General features: G+C 38.5%; 1 protein-coding gene across 10 annotated transcripts in view; it reads right to left on the bottom strand.

Annotated features, from left to right (window-relative positions):
- Window positions 1-14364, bottom strand: part of PLEKHH2 (pleckstrin homology, MyTH4 and FERM domain containing H2) — a 130728-nt gene that overhangs the window by 27630 nt on the left and 88734 nt on the right. For 8 of the 10 annotated variants that reach the window (XR_001738621.2, XR_001738620.2, NM_172069.4 and 5 more), the window contains 4 exons: window positions 13907-14086; window positions 10613-10721; window positions 8756-8868; window positions 1838-2017 (listed from right to left, as the gene is read on the bottom strand). Coding sequence is in view for 8 of the 10 variants with exons in the window: in NM_172069.4 (NP_742066.2) it covers window positions 1838-2017; window positions 8756-8868; window positions 10613-10721; window positions 13907-14086 (582 nt within the window). In the remaining 2 variants the exon portion in view is untranslated. Of the gene's footprint in view, window positions 1-1837; window positions 2018-5664; window positions 5792-8755; window positions 8869-10565; window positions 10722-13906; window positions 14087-14364 lie in introns of those variants that run through there. The other 2 variants (XM_017003352.2, XM_047443343.1) reach the window with 2 other exon arrangements.

The raw sequence follows: 14364 nt of genomic DNA, 5'->3' as shown, positions 1-14364 counted from the left end.
AACATGGTGGTTAATGCTCAACCACTAAACAAGGTACAAAAAGTCTTCAAACAACAAAAAAATTTTTTTAATTTCTTTATCCTATAAAACACTGCATTTGTTAAAAAATGTTAAGCATTAGACAAACTCATTAGAGTAAATAAATGTAAAAGTAGGATAGAGATCTCATTTGCCCTTGTTTGTTATATATAATTTTTCAGTCATTTTTAAAACGTTATATTAAAAAAGTTGGATAGAGATCTTATTTGCCCTTGTTTCCTATGTATAATTTTCAGCCATTTTTAAAACGTTATATTAAAAAAGAGGGAGAAATAGGCATTGTCCCTGCCCTTAAGGAACCTACAGTCTAGTAGGAGACAGTTATATATTTAAACAGTAAATTATAATACAACATGGTAATACCACGTATTAACTTTTTAAAGCATAACCAATGGAAGGAATGACTAACTTCTTGTGGAGTCAAGGAAGGCATCACAGGGAATATGTTGCTTAGGCTGGACTATAAAGTCTACGGAAGGGAAGGAAGAGGAGGGATCCAGGTAACAGGAATACCATCAGGTGCATGGTGGAGAATATTGCAAAGGTGGAGTGTGTTTGAAGGATGGGGCGAATTTATTCATTCACTGTCTGCTGGAGGCAGGAAGTGGAGAAAGAGCGGGCCAGTGGAGCCAGATGACAAAGTGTTCTTGATGCAGATGAAGCTTAAGCTTCAGATTCCCTCTTGGGCACAGGTCCTGGGAAAGGCTTATTAACTGTGTTTACATGGTCATATGATTTCTAAAATGTGCAAAAGTAATCCATTTTCAAGTCTTTGTCTTAAAGAGCATTTCCCAAACTGTATAAGCTTCGGTCTCACAAAACCTAGATCCAACCCCGACAGTCCTATATGCTAAGGTAAGAAATTTCTGATTTATCCTGTGGCTAACAGGCAGTCAATACACAAAGATAAAAACAGGTGTTCATTGAAGAGTAAACACAGATGACTACCAAACACCTGAAAAATATATTCAACTGCACTAATAAAGAAACGCATCCTGAGTCAATAGTGAAATATTTTTTTTTGCCTGGTAAGAATTTAAAATATACTGAATGTTGTTGAAGATATAGGAAAATTCTAAAAATGAATTCAAAGGAATTCGCTGGACCTGTCCACAAGATTTAGGTTCCTGGTGGGCGCGGTGGCTCACACCTGTAATCCCAGTACTTTGGGAGGCCAGAGCGGGCGGATCACCTGAGATCAGGAGTTCGAGGCCAGCCTGACCAACATGGTGAAACCCCATCTCTGCTAAAAATGCAAAATTAGCCGGGAGTGTTGGCACATGCCTGTAATCTCAGCTACTTGGGAGGCTGAGGCAGGAGAATTGCTTGAACCCGGGAGGCGGAGGTTCCAGTGAGCCGACATTGTGCCATTGCACTCCAGCCTGGGCAACAAGAGCGAAACTCCATCTCATTTAGGTTCAAAGATGTCTACTGCAGAGGTATTTATTATAGGAAAAAATATAGAAATGTATCGTACTTAATGTTAACATGACCATTAATGTTTTGAAGAATGTCTAAGGATATAGGGGAAACGATTATTTTCTATAGTTTAAAAAAGTAGTATGCACACTGTAACTCCAGCAATATAAAAAACTGTGAGTGTACACACACCAACATACACACATTTATATATAAACATATAAATAAACCAAAAAGGTAGACATCAAAATATTAATACCTATTTTTCCTTCTGCACTTTTTGTATTCTCCAAATGTCTATGCTGAATGTGTATCATTCTTACAATCAGAAAAAAAAACACTTTAAATTGCATGTATATGTATCAATATTAATATCTACCTGCAATGGTCCTGGTTGATTCTGTGGCTGTCTTCGTCTTGTCTGTTTAATAAGCTGACAGCAAATTTCATTCTGCAGCTCAGGATGTGTCAGGCAGATTTGCAAAGCACTCTGGGCTAAAGATATGTGGTAATCAATTGCAGGAGAGTCAACTGCAGCATTTATAAAAAGCTGGCAGGTCTGAATTAAACAAAAAAAGATATATTCAAGGTGAGGAGTGATTAGATTTATTCTGCATGAATTATATCGAATATCTTTTCAGCAGTAGTTTTTGTTTAAAATGATGGAAAAGGATATATTATGATAACACTAATCAAAAGAAATCTGGAATCGCCACAATAATAGCAGACAAAGCAGATTTCAGAGCAAGGAATTCTGCCAGAGATAAAGAGGGTCATTTTATAATGATAAAGGGGTCAGTTCATCTAGAAGACATAACAATCCTAAACATCTACATACTTAATAACAGAGCTTCAGAATACATGTGAATCTCATCCAGCATATTTTTCATTTTAGTCACTGCATTTTTCATCTCTAAAAATTCAATTTGGGTCTTTTTAATATCTTCTCTTACTCTTCTTAAAATGCTCATGCTTTCCTTTACCTTCCTGAACATGTGAAGTGTGGTGGCCAATCTCCAAAGTGGTCCTCCGTGATCTCCACATCCTGACATTCAGATCCATAGTTAATTCCCTCCTGTATTCTACCAGGGTTGGTCTGTGTGACTGGTAGCATGTGGCACGCCATTTCTAAGATTAGCTTATAAAAAACAATGCACTTCCATCTTGGTCACTCTCTCTCTTTCCCCGTTAGATCATTTCCTCTGGGGAAGGTAGCTGCCATGTCTTGAGCAGTCATTTGGAGAGGCCCATGTAGTGAGGTACTGAGGCTTCTTTGCCAACAGCCACGTGAGAGAGTTTGGAATCCTCCAGCCCCATTCCAATCTTCAGATGCCTGCTACCCCCGCTGACAGCTTGATGGTACCGCCAGGAGACTATGAGTCAGAACCACCCAGCTAAACTGCTTCTAGATTCCTGACCCTTCAAAACTGTGTGAAATAGCAAATGTTGTAAGTCACTAAGTGTTGGGGAAATTTTAAATGTAACAGTAGACAACAGATACACAGAAATGTCCTTATCTACCATCACCTGCATCATTTCTAGATATGTTTCTATGATTACTTTTTCTTACCCATTGTATTGTCATACTTGACCCGATTCTCTGTATGCCTGGTGATCTTTGACTGGATGCAGACGTTGTGAATGTTATACTCTTGGGCACTGGACTTTTTGGTATGCTTTAAACATTTTTTAGCTTTGCTCTGAGATGACAGTTAAATTACTTGGAAATGGTTCGGTTCTTCCAAGGTCTGTTTTAAGTTTCTTAGGGTGGACCAAAACAGCCTTACATTTAGGACTATCTGGGCCCCATTCCAGAGGCAATCACCTTCTGTGCACTCTATTTGATGTCCAATGTATCAAAGATTTTTCCATTCTAGAAGATGGGAAAACTGTTTCCAGCTCTGTGTGAGCTGGAATTTTTTTGCCTGTGTCTTTCTGTCCTCAGCCTCAGGTACTTTCCGCACATACACACATGCTTATCAGTTCTCAGATGAAAACACGAATCTCTGGAGCTCTCCCTCCCTCCCTCTCTTTAGCTCTCTCCTCTCAGCCCTGTGATTGATTGATTTATTTATTTTTTAGACGGAGTCTTGCTCTGTTGCCCAGGCTGGAGAACAGAGCTCAGCGCAACTTCTGCCTCCTGGGTTCAAGTGATTCTCCTGCGTCAGCCTCCCAAGTAGTGAGATTACAGGCACCAACCACCACAACTCGCTAATTTTTTTATTTTTAGTAGAGACAGGGTTTCCCCCTGTTGGCCAGGCTGGTCTCGAACTCCTGATCTCAGGTGATACACCCACCTCAGCCTCCCAAAGTGCTGGGGTTACAGGGTGAGCCACCGCGCCCGATCAGCCCTGTGAAGTCTAACTACCTTGGCCTTCTCAAATTCTGAACTCTGTCTCCGTGACTCAGGAAGACTGCCAGGCTCTATTTGGGTGCTCCCTCTCTGCACAGCAGTCTTGAATCTCTCCAGACAGTAAGCTGCAGCAATCACAGGGCGTATGTCATTAGTTTTTTCCGAAGAATCTGTCCTACACTGCCTACATTCAACATCTGAAAACCACTGGCAGGGCAAATCCAGTCCCTGTGGCTCCATCATGGCCCAAAGTAGTTCTTCCTTTTTATCTTCTAACTGGTTGTTGCTTGCACACATAAAAGCGTTTGTTTTTTGCTTATTTTGTACCTCTCACTATCTTATCAAATTCTCTTTTTGTTTGTAGTAGTTTTTTAGTTTGTTCTTTTGGGTTTTCTGGGTATACAAATATACCATCTGTAAATATTTTCATTTATTGCCTAATAACATCGGTTAGTTCCCTAACAGAATGTTAAATAATAATAATAATAACAAACTTTATGTAATTTATACTTTAATTGAAAAATTTAAAAAATAATGGGGCATATCTTTGTCTTTTTCTCACTTTAGTGGAAATGTTTCTAAAATTTCTCCATAAAGCATGATGCTTGCTTTTAGCTAAAACAAGAATATTTTATCATGTTGAAGTATCTATGTATTGCTATTCTATAAATGTTAAATTTGTCAAATGCCTTTTCGGCATCTACAGATATGATTATCTCCCTAATAATAAGTAATATTAATAGATATCCCAATACTTAGCCATCCTTGATTTCCTAGAATAAATCCCTTTCAGTCATAATTTAATATTTTCTAACATTAAAAAATGTTATTGACACATAATAGCTGCATATATTATTGGAGCATATGAATTTTTTGATACATGCCTGCAACATGTAATAATCAAATCAAGGGAATTGGGATACCCACTACCTCTAACATTTGTAATTTCTTTGTGTTGGGAACATTCCAAATCTTCTCTTCTAAGTATTTTGAAATATACTCTAAGTCCTTGTCAGCTATAGTTGCCCTACTGTGCTGTTGAACACTAGAACTTATTCTTCTTAAATAAATGTATTTTTGTACCCATTAACCAACCTCCTTTCATCCCTCCACCCCCTACTACCCAGCCTCTGGTAACCACCATTCTATTTTACCATCTACCTCTATGAGATCCACTTTTTTAGCTCCCACCTATGAGTGAAAACATAAGATATTTGTCTTTCTGTGCTTGGCTTATTTTACTTAATATAATGTTCTCCAGTTCCATCTATGTTGTTGCAAATGACAGGGCTTTGTTTTTCGTAATGGCTGAATAATATTCCATTGTGTATATATACTACATTTTTTTCTTTTTTTTGAGACAGAGTCTTGCTCTGTCACCCAGGCTGGAGTGCAGTGGCACACTCTCGGCTCACTACAACCTCCACCTCCCAGGTTCAAGCGATTCTTGTGCCTCAGCCTCCCTAGTAGCTGGGATTACAGGAATGCACCACTACGCCCAGTTAATTTTTGTATTTTTAGTAGAGACAAAATAAATTTTGTATTTTTAGTAGAGACCAGCCTCCCCATGTTAGCCAGGCTGGTCTCAAACTCCTGGCCTCAAGTGACCTGGCTGCCTTGGCCTCCCAAAGTGCTGGGATTACAGGCCTGAGCCACTGGCCCGGCCCATCATTATCCATTCATCTACTGATGAACACTTAGGTTGATTCCATATATCGGTTCTTGTGAACAGTGCTATAATAAATATAGGAATCCCGATATCTCTTCAATATACTGACTTACTTTCATTTGGATATACTCCCAGTGAGACTGCTGGATCACATGGTAGTTCTATTTTTAGTTTTTTGAGGAACCTCCATACTGTTTTTCAAAGTTGCTGTACTAATTTACATTCCCACCGATGGTGTATGAGTTTTCCTCTTTCTCTGCATCCTTCACAGCATTCGTTATTTTCTGCCTTTTCGATAACAGCCATTTTAACTGGGGTGAGATGATATTTCATTACGATGCTGATTTGCATTTCCCTGATGATTAGCGATGCTTAGCATTTATTCATATACTTGTTGGCCATTTGTATGTCTTCTTTTGAGAAATGTCTATTGAGATCTTTTGCCCATTTTAAAATTGGATTATTTGTTTTTTGCTATTGAGTTGAATGATTTAATATTCTTTAAATGATGCTGGATTCTAATTGCTAATATTTTATTATTTTTGTTCAATCTTTGCTGCATTCTCATATGAAAGCAATACTTATTTAACAAAGAGAATATAGTGATATAATGACTGAGGATTGCTTCAAAATAATCCAAAGTTAGGGTGCAGTGGGAAATGGGAGAATAAAACAAAATTGGCCATGTGTTGATGACTGTAGATCTGAAAGATGAGTACTTTAGGCCTCATTGTAATATTCTCTCTACTCATATATGTTGGAAATTGTCCCAAGTAAAAAGTAAAAGAAAAAATTGAATTTAGAAAAGTTCCTTCTTTTTCTATGCTTTGGGACAATTTAAACAGCATTGAAATTATCTACACGTAAAGTTTGGTAAACTCCTCTGTTTAGATTTTCATTTTCCTGTGGAATCAATTTTGGTCATTTATATTTTCTTATAAAATTGACCACATCATCTAGATTTTCAAATATACTTGTATAGTCTTTCTTGCTTTAGGTATTGGTGTACTCTACAGGTGGGTATTTTTAAACATTCCATTATAGAAATTTTAAAAATGTATAAAAGTAGAGAGAACAGCATAATAATCACCCATGTACCCATCACCCAGTGTCAATAATTATCAGCATTTTTCCAAACTTCACCACCTCCCCACCTCTACTTTTTTCTCCTCTGGAGTATTTTAATGTATATCATACTACTTTACCAATAAATACTTCAGGCTGGATCTCCAGTTGATAAAGATTTTTTCTATAGCCATCCATGACCCCACAAATAACAATAATTCCATATTATCTAATAAACAAATAGATTTTTTGAGATGGGAGAAACTTAGGCAAGACAAAGCCAAAAGAAAGAGATGGAGCTCCAAGAGACTAGGGAAAAATGAAGTACCAAGATCCTGGTGTAGAGTCCAGACTTGGAAACACAGAAGGTCCACCGTTATCTGAGGCTGGAGGAGTGGAGGAGAAAGGGTTGTCTATTAAGTGGAGGGATTTTTTTTTTTTTTTTTTTTTGAGATGGAGTCTTGCTCTGTTGCCCAGGATGGAGTGCACTGGTGCGATCTCGGCTCAGTGCAACCTCCATTTCCTAGGTTCAAGTGATTCTCCTGCCTCAGCCTCCCAAGTAGCTGGGACTATAGGCGCATGCCATCACACTCGGCTAATTTTTGTATTTTTTAAGTAGAGACAGGGTTTCATGGTGTTAGCCAGGATGGTCTCGATCTCCTGACCTCATGATCTGCCCGCCTCGGCCTTCCAAAGTGCTGGGATTACAGGCGTGAGCCACTGCGCCCGGCTGCAAGGGGAGGGCTTTGAGGTGGTCATGTCATGTCTGATGTCCTCTAATTTTCTCAGTGAAATAGAAGGTAAGTTTCTCTGCTGTATTCTTAAGTAGAGAGTTTGAGGGGGATGTGACCAAAGACAAGCACAAGGCAGAAAGTTGGCTGTGAGAGAGGAAGACCCTGAATTTTTATTGGCGTCAGACTACATGGCTGTTTGATGCTCTGCAGCATTGCACATCTGGTTATACTGGCAGCAGAAAACATAGCACTGATCTAGGTTGGGATCTGGCTGAAGAGTACATGGAATTATGGGTCCCAAGGAACTACAAGAATTAATAGAAACAAACCAGACTAGATAAGGAAGGAAGAAAAGCCAGGACGCAGTTATCATGATCTTAAAAAAAGCTAATGGTTCAAAACAAAGGTCTTAGAGATGAAGAAAAAGTGGAAGAGTAAAAAAATATAAGAGCTTGTAGGCTAGGATTCTGGTTAAAGAAAGAGATGTTCGAATTGAAGCTTTTAGATGTGACGTACTTGTGAGGAATGGTGAAGTCAGGTGTGGACATGGAAAATGGGATGATGAAGGAGGCCAGAGGTGAAGCTTACTGGAATTTAGAAGGTCAAGAAACTTAAAATCATGGCATTGGTGAGTGAAGTGATAAGAGTCATTTGCAAGACTTCAGGTAGAGAATGTGAGTTGGGAGCTAAAATTCTTTGATAATTTTTTTTTTTTGAGACTTATTTTCACTCTTGTTGCCCAGGCTGGAGTGCAGTGGCGTGATCTCAGCTCACTGCAACCTCCATCTCCTGGGTTCAAGCAATTCTCCTGACTCAGCCTCCCAAGTAGCTGGGATTACAGGTATGTGCCTCCATGCCCATTTAATTTTGTGTTTTTAGTAGAGATGGGGTTTCACCATGTTGGCCAGGCTGGTCTTGAACTCCTGACCTCAGGTGATCCACCCTCCTCGGCCTCCCAAAGTGCTGGGATTACAGGAGTAAGCCACCACACCTGGCCCTTAAAGAAATCTGAAGAGTTACTGGAAGGTAACTGATGATAGGGATAGAAGGATAAAGAGTGCGAAGTTGCATGGCAAGTTTTGAGTGATTAGGGATTTCTAATAGAGATTGAGGAATAAGAAATTGAGAGTAACACTAGAGAGGAGAGAGAGTGCTGACCCCTCTCCCATTGCTGTGCCTGGTGTGATGTGGAAAATTAGAGGTTAAAGGGGAAATGATTCATCTGATACCAAGTATTTCACATTGCCCAAACCATACACATTAATAGTTTATTTCAGTAAATCCCAAATCCTCACTAAGAAAGCATATGAAATTCACCTAATTTTATTTCAATGATATTCTTAATAATAAACACATTTTGAATTTTCTTGGAGTAAAATTTTGTAACCCAAAATGTTATTTTTAATTTTTTTCCAATTATTTAACAACATATAAGTATTTTACCTTAAATCATTTAACAACATATAAATATTTTACCTTAAATAATTTAATAGCTTCTGTCTGCAGGGCTTCGGAAGGTAGAGTTGTCAGAGGGGAAATGATTCCTTCTTTACTGTGACACAAAGTGGGGTGTCTCCATATCTGAGAGGCTAAATGCAGAATAAAATATGAACAGAAAACTGAATAAACCACTTATTGTGGCCTCTTATTAAATTAATCCTTTAGACATTAGCTCATTCAGGCTTGGCTCACAACTTTAAGTCACAAAGGTCAGAAAAAAACTCTTTGGCAACATTATTTTATTTTGGTAGCCAGGTCATTGGGATTCTCATGTTACTGTTTTTTGTGTTTTGTTTTTTTTAATTTTAAAAATTTCCATAGGTTTTTGGGGAATAGGTGGTATGTGGTTACATGAGTAAGTTCTTTAGTGATTTGTGAGATTTTGGTGCACCCATCACCCAAGCAGTATATACTGAAACTGATTTGCCTCACCCCCTTCCCACCCTTTCCCTCAGTCCCCAAAGTCTATTGTGTCATTCTTATGCCTTTGCATCCTCACAGTTTAGCTCCCATTTATGAGTGAGACATGTTCCTGTTTTGGATAATCTAGAAGAGTTGGGTCCTAATTTACTAGGCTGCAATAAGTCTACCAGGGCACTATCACGTTGCTTAAATGTGCTAAAGATTGGTGACCTAGGTAGGGGGCATGACTATATATGAGAAAGAGCTGGGGAAAGATCTAGAACTTCTCTAGAGAGGAGAAGCCAAAGTAGAAAGAGATATAAAGATAAAGAGGAACTTGAAGGCATTCCTAAAATCAACATTTATTAAATTCCTGTGTTGGACACAGCAAATAAAATGTGGTCTCTCTTAGCGTATAAAGCATAGGATAGAATCTAGTCTCTCAGTGGGGGAACCTTAGCCATAAAAATTCATTTCAGGCCAGGCACAGTGGCTCATGCCTGTAATGCCAGCACTTTGGGAGGCTGAGGTGGGTGGATTACTTGAGCTCAGGAGTTCGAGACCAACCTGTGCAACATGAAGAAACCCCATCTCTGCCAATGATACAAAAATTAGTCGGGCATGGTGGTGCATGCCTGTGGTCCCAGCTACTCAGGAGGCTGAGGCAGGAGGATTGCTTGAGCCCAGGAGGCAGAGGTTGCAGTGAGCGGAGATCATGCCACTGCACTCCAGCCTGGGTGACAGAGTGAGACTCCGTCTCAAAAACAAAACAAAAACTTAATTTCAATGCAAAACTACAAATGCTATAAATCTTTTGGCTTCCCTGGGCCACACTGGAAGAAGAATTGTCTTGGGCCACACATAAAATATATAAACACTAATGATAGCTGATGAGCTTAAAAACAAAAAACTCACAAAGAAATTTTGTAATGTTTTAAGAAAGTTTATGAATTTGTGTTGGGCCACATTCAAAGCCATCTGGGGCCACAGGCCACCTGTGGGTTGCAGGTTGGCCAAGCTTGCTATAAAAGAATTAAGTGACAAAACGCATTAGGACATAATTTTAACATTGATGAAGCACCTTTTATGAGCCAGATGCTGAGCTGCAGAGGGCTGGCTGGGGGATCTCCTAAGGCTAGGTGGGGTTTCATTATGTTGGTGAGGACTGCCAACGAAGGGGGCATTCCAAGCAGAGGAGCAGTGGAAGCAAAGGCAGAGGGAGGTGACCTGACACAGACTAATGAGGAATGATGGTGTCCCTGCAGCCAAAGAGCCACAGACAGAATTCTCTCCCATGATGAGCAAAGGCAATGAAAAGGTGGGTATATTTCAGGGAAACAGGAACCCATTAAGTGAAAACTCCATTAGGCTAAGCGGGTTGAGGTCCATTTCATTAACCATAAAGCTTTATTTATATGTTTATGAACTTACAAGGCTCCCCGTCTATATTTAGCAATTTGCAAACCAGTTGTTCAAATTCAGATCCAACGTTTACATTGTTGCTTCCAGCTGCAACAGTCAGATGATAAAGCCAAGTGTCCTTAAAACCAGAACATATTAATTAAATGTTAAGACACAGTTTTGATTAAAGAAAAAAAAACAACTTGCATAAACAGTAGAAAACTTTGAGATGGAAATGAACCACTTGCTTTAATTTTTAAATAATAATGAAAAGCCATTTATTCAAACAATTCTGAGGCATGCTCACTTGAACTGTGTTTATATTACCTTTTCCCATTATTTACACTTTTCTTATTCAGATGCATTTTAGAAAAGCATGACAAAATTAAGACGAGTAACACATGTTAAGAGACTAAATACAACCAGCTGATATTCTTTTACAAAATAAATAAATTCTATTAAATTAAAAATCTGGCTCCCAGAGTGATACATACAGAATATTTTGGAAATCCAGAAAATTTAAAGAAAACATAATACCCGTCTTATCCCATTCACCAAAGATTCCTGGTCTTTTTTTCTCTATGATAATATATATGTAGATTAAATTTTTACATAGTTGAATTATTCTGAAAGTAGAGGATAATTTCTGAATTTTAGTAATATAGTACAAGCACTCCCTTGTTGCTAGAAATTCTTTATAAACAAGTTTTAATGGCTGCAGGATATTCTACTACACATATGGACACACCATATTTATTTAATCAATTTCTTATTGCTGAACATTATGATGGTTACTAACTTCTCACTGATAAAAAATACTGTGACAGCTATCATCTGTTAACTGAAAAGGAAATGTTATATTTTCCATCTTTAAAATACTTCAAAAATAAAATTATTTTAAAAAGAGTATTGTAGGCCGGGCACGGTGGCTCATGCCTGTAATCCCAGCACTTTGAGAGGCCAAGCCGGGTGGATCATCTGAGGTCAGGGGTTTGAGACCAGCCTGGCCAACATGGTGAAACGCCGTCTCTACTAAAAATACAAAAATTAGCTGGGCATGGTGGTGCATGCCTGTAGTCCCAGCTGTTCGGGAGGCTGAGGCAGAAGAATCTCTTGAACCCAGGAGGCGGAGGTTGCAGTGAGCCGAGATCACGCCACTGCACTCCAGCCTGGGCAACAGAGTGAAACTCTGTTTTAAAAAAAAAAAAAAAAAGAGTATTGTGTTGAACAAACTATACATAAATTTTTGGCTACATTTACTAACATTTTCTTTTTCTTTCTTTTTTTTTTTTTTTTTTGAGACAGAGTCTTGCTCTGTCACCCAGGCTGGAGTGCAATGGCGCGATCTCGATTCACTGCAACCTCTGCCTCCAGGTTCAAGTGATTCTCCTGCCTCAGCCTCCCAAGTAGCTGGGATTACAGGAACCTGTCACCACGTCCAGCTACTTTTTGTATTTTTAGTAGAGATGGAGTTTCACCACATTGGCCAGGCTGGTCTCGAACTCCTGACCTCAGGTGATCCACCTGCCTCGGCCTCCCAAAGTGCTGGGATTACAGGCGTGAGACACAGTGCCTGGCCAACATTTTCTTAGTATATATTTTTTGAAATAGAATTATGAGTCATTACTAGGGCGAGAAAACTTTTAGGAACTCTTGAAACATATTTTCAAAGTACTTTCCAAAGCATTTACACTAATTTCTATTCTCACCAGTGGTATATAGGAGTGCTTCCCTCCTCATAGCTTCACTAGCATAATTTTTTAAATCTTTGATAATCTCAGAGACAATAAAAGCTTTATCATTTTTAAATGTGCGCATCTTTGATTACAGATGAGCGTAAGCATTCATTAGCCATTAAATTCCTCAGTAAGTTGTTCATCAGGCCCTCTTTCCATTTTTCTACTAGAAACATAGTCCTTTTCAAATCATATGAGAGGTAGCAGAGGCAAGTGTTCAGGAACACAGGCTCTGTGGTTAGAGATAGGGGTCTAATATCAACTCTGCCTCTTGCCAGATGTGTGACCACAGGAAAGTGCTTCAGTCTTTCCATCTATAAATGGGAATAAGGTCACCTCCCACAGAGGGTAATTGGAAGGATGAAGAAGAGATATACTTAGCACTTGGCCTGATACATGTGCTCAAAAACAATGATCAATAGTAACAATAATAATCTATAAAGAGTTGTTTATATGTTAAGGATACAGTAGCCATCCATGAAATATTTTGTTTTCTGTATTATCTTTTTAGTCATATTTATGATAATATTTGACATAAATAATTATTTCAATTTTGTATAGTCAAATCTATCAACCATTTGCACTCTGATTTCTTACACTGCCTTTTTGTTTTTGTTCTTTTTTTTTTTGAGACGGAGTCTCGCTCTGTCGCCAGGCTGGAGTGCAGTGGTGCGATCTCAGCTCACTGCAACCTCTACCTCCTGGGTTCAAGCGATTCCCCTGCCTCAGCCTCCCAAGTAGCTGGGATTACAGGCACACGCCACCTCGCCTGGCTAATTTTTGTATTTTAGTAGAGACAGAGTTTCACCATGTTGGCCAAGATGGTCTCGATCTTCCTGACCTTGTGATCCACCCGCCTCGGCCTCCCGAAGTGCTGGGATTACAGACGTGAGTCACCGCACCCAGCCCGCCCTTTTGTTTTCTTAGAAAGTACTTCTGATTCAGAACTCAGATAAAGGCCTTTTTAAAAAATAATTTCATTGAATTCTTTTAACTCTTTAAATTCTGGAAATTATTTTGCTATCTGTATGAGATGAAAATAATAATCTGGAAATTATTTTGCTATCTGTATGAGATGAAAAACTAATGTTTCCTAAGTAGCCAATTTCCTCAATATATAAGAAATACATAATCATATGTATTGAATGATATATTACTTCCCCATTAATTTGTGATACCTCCTTTATCATAAATGACTACATGTACATATAATACATAAAATAATTAATTTTCTACTGTATCTAAGGCCAAATTTTATTAAAAATTAGTCAAAAATATAAAACAGAGTCCTTAGATTTACCAAAAAATGTTCAATCTGAGAGATCCACATTTTTAACATAAGTTCCTTTAGCCCTCCACTTCCACGCACTAATTTCAGCCTTGATACCACTCTTACCAACAGGATTAGAAAATGACATATTTGAACGAGGCTCATTTCCAGGGAGGTAAAGAATCTCTGAAAACAGAGGTGAAAGTCTATAGCAAAATTTTCTTCCTTATTTCCATTAAATTGATTTGATAATTATTACCAATATCTGAATAATATTAGTCTACATCATTCTAAATCAACCAATAAGTCTTTGAATACCTTTTCATGCTTGGATCCAATTAGGAGGTAAGTTGGACCTTGGTCTTTGGGATGGATAACGATAGTATAATGTGTGGATAACAGACTTCGTCCACTGGCTTCATAATCTTCATCTGAATCACAAGATCTGTCAACCTCTTCCACTTTAGCCTCCCAGAGTTTGATCTGACCTAAAGGAAACTAAAGTAAATATTAGTAATTGTGAGGAAGGCATTTTCTAAATCTTTTCCTACTAAAACATTTCATAGTCCTTTTCATTTTTAAATTTATAAAGCATACCTTTAAAAATTTTACTTTATTTTTTATTTTCCTTTTTTTTTTTTTTTTGAGACAGGGTTGGGTCTCCCTCTGTCTCCCAGGCTGGAGTGCAGTGGCGCAATCAGTAACCTCACTGTAACCTTGAACTCCTGGGCTTCAGGGATCCTTCCATCTCAGCCTCCCAAATAGCTAGCACTACA

This window comes from Homo sapiens, chromosome 2 (genome assembly GCF_000001405.40).
Source record: "Homo sapiens chromosome 2, GRCh38.p14 Primary Assembly".
NCBI classification, from domain to species: Eukaryota; Metazoa; Chordata; class Mammalia; order Primates; family Hominidae; genus Homo; species Homo sapiens.
This window is presented reverse-complemented; position numbering and strand designations above follow the sequence as displayed.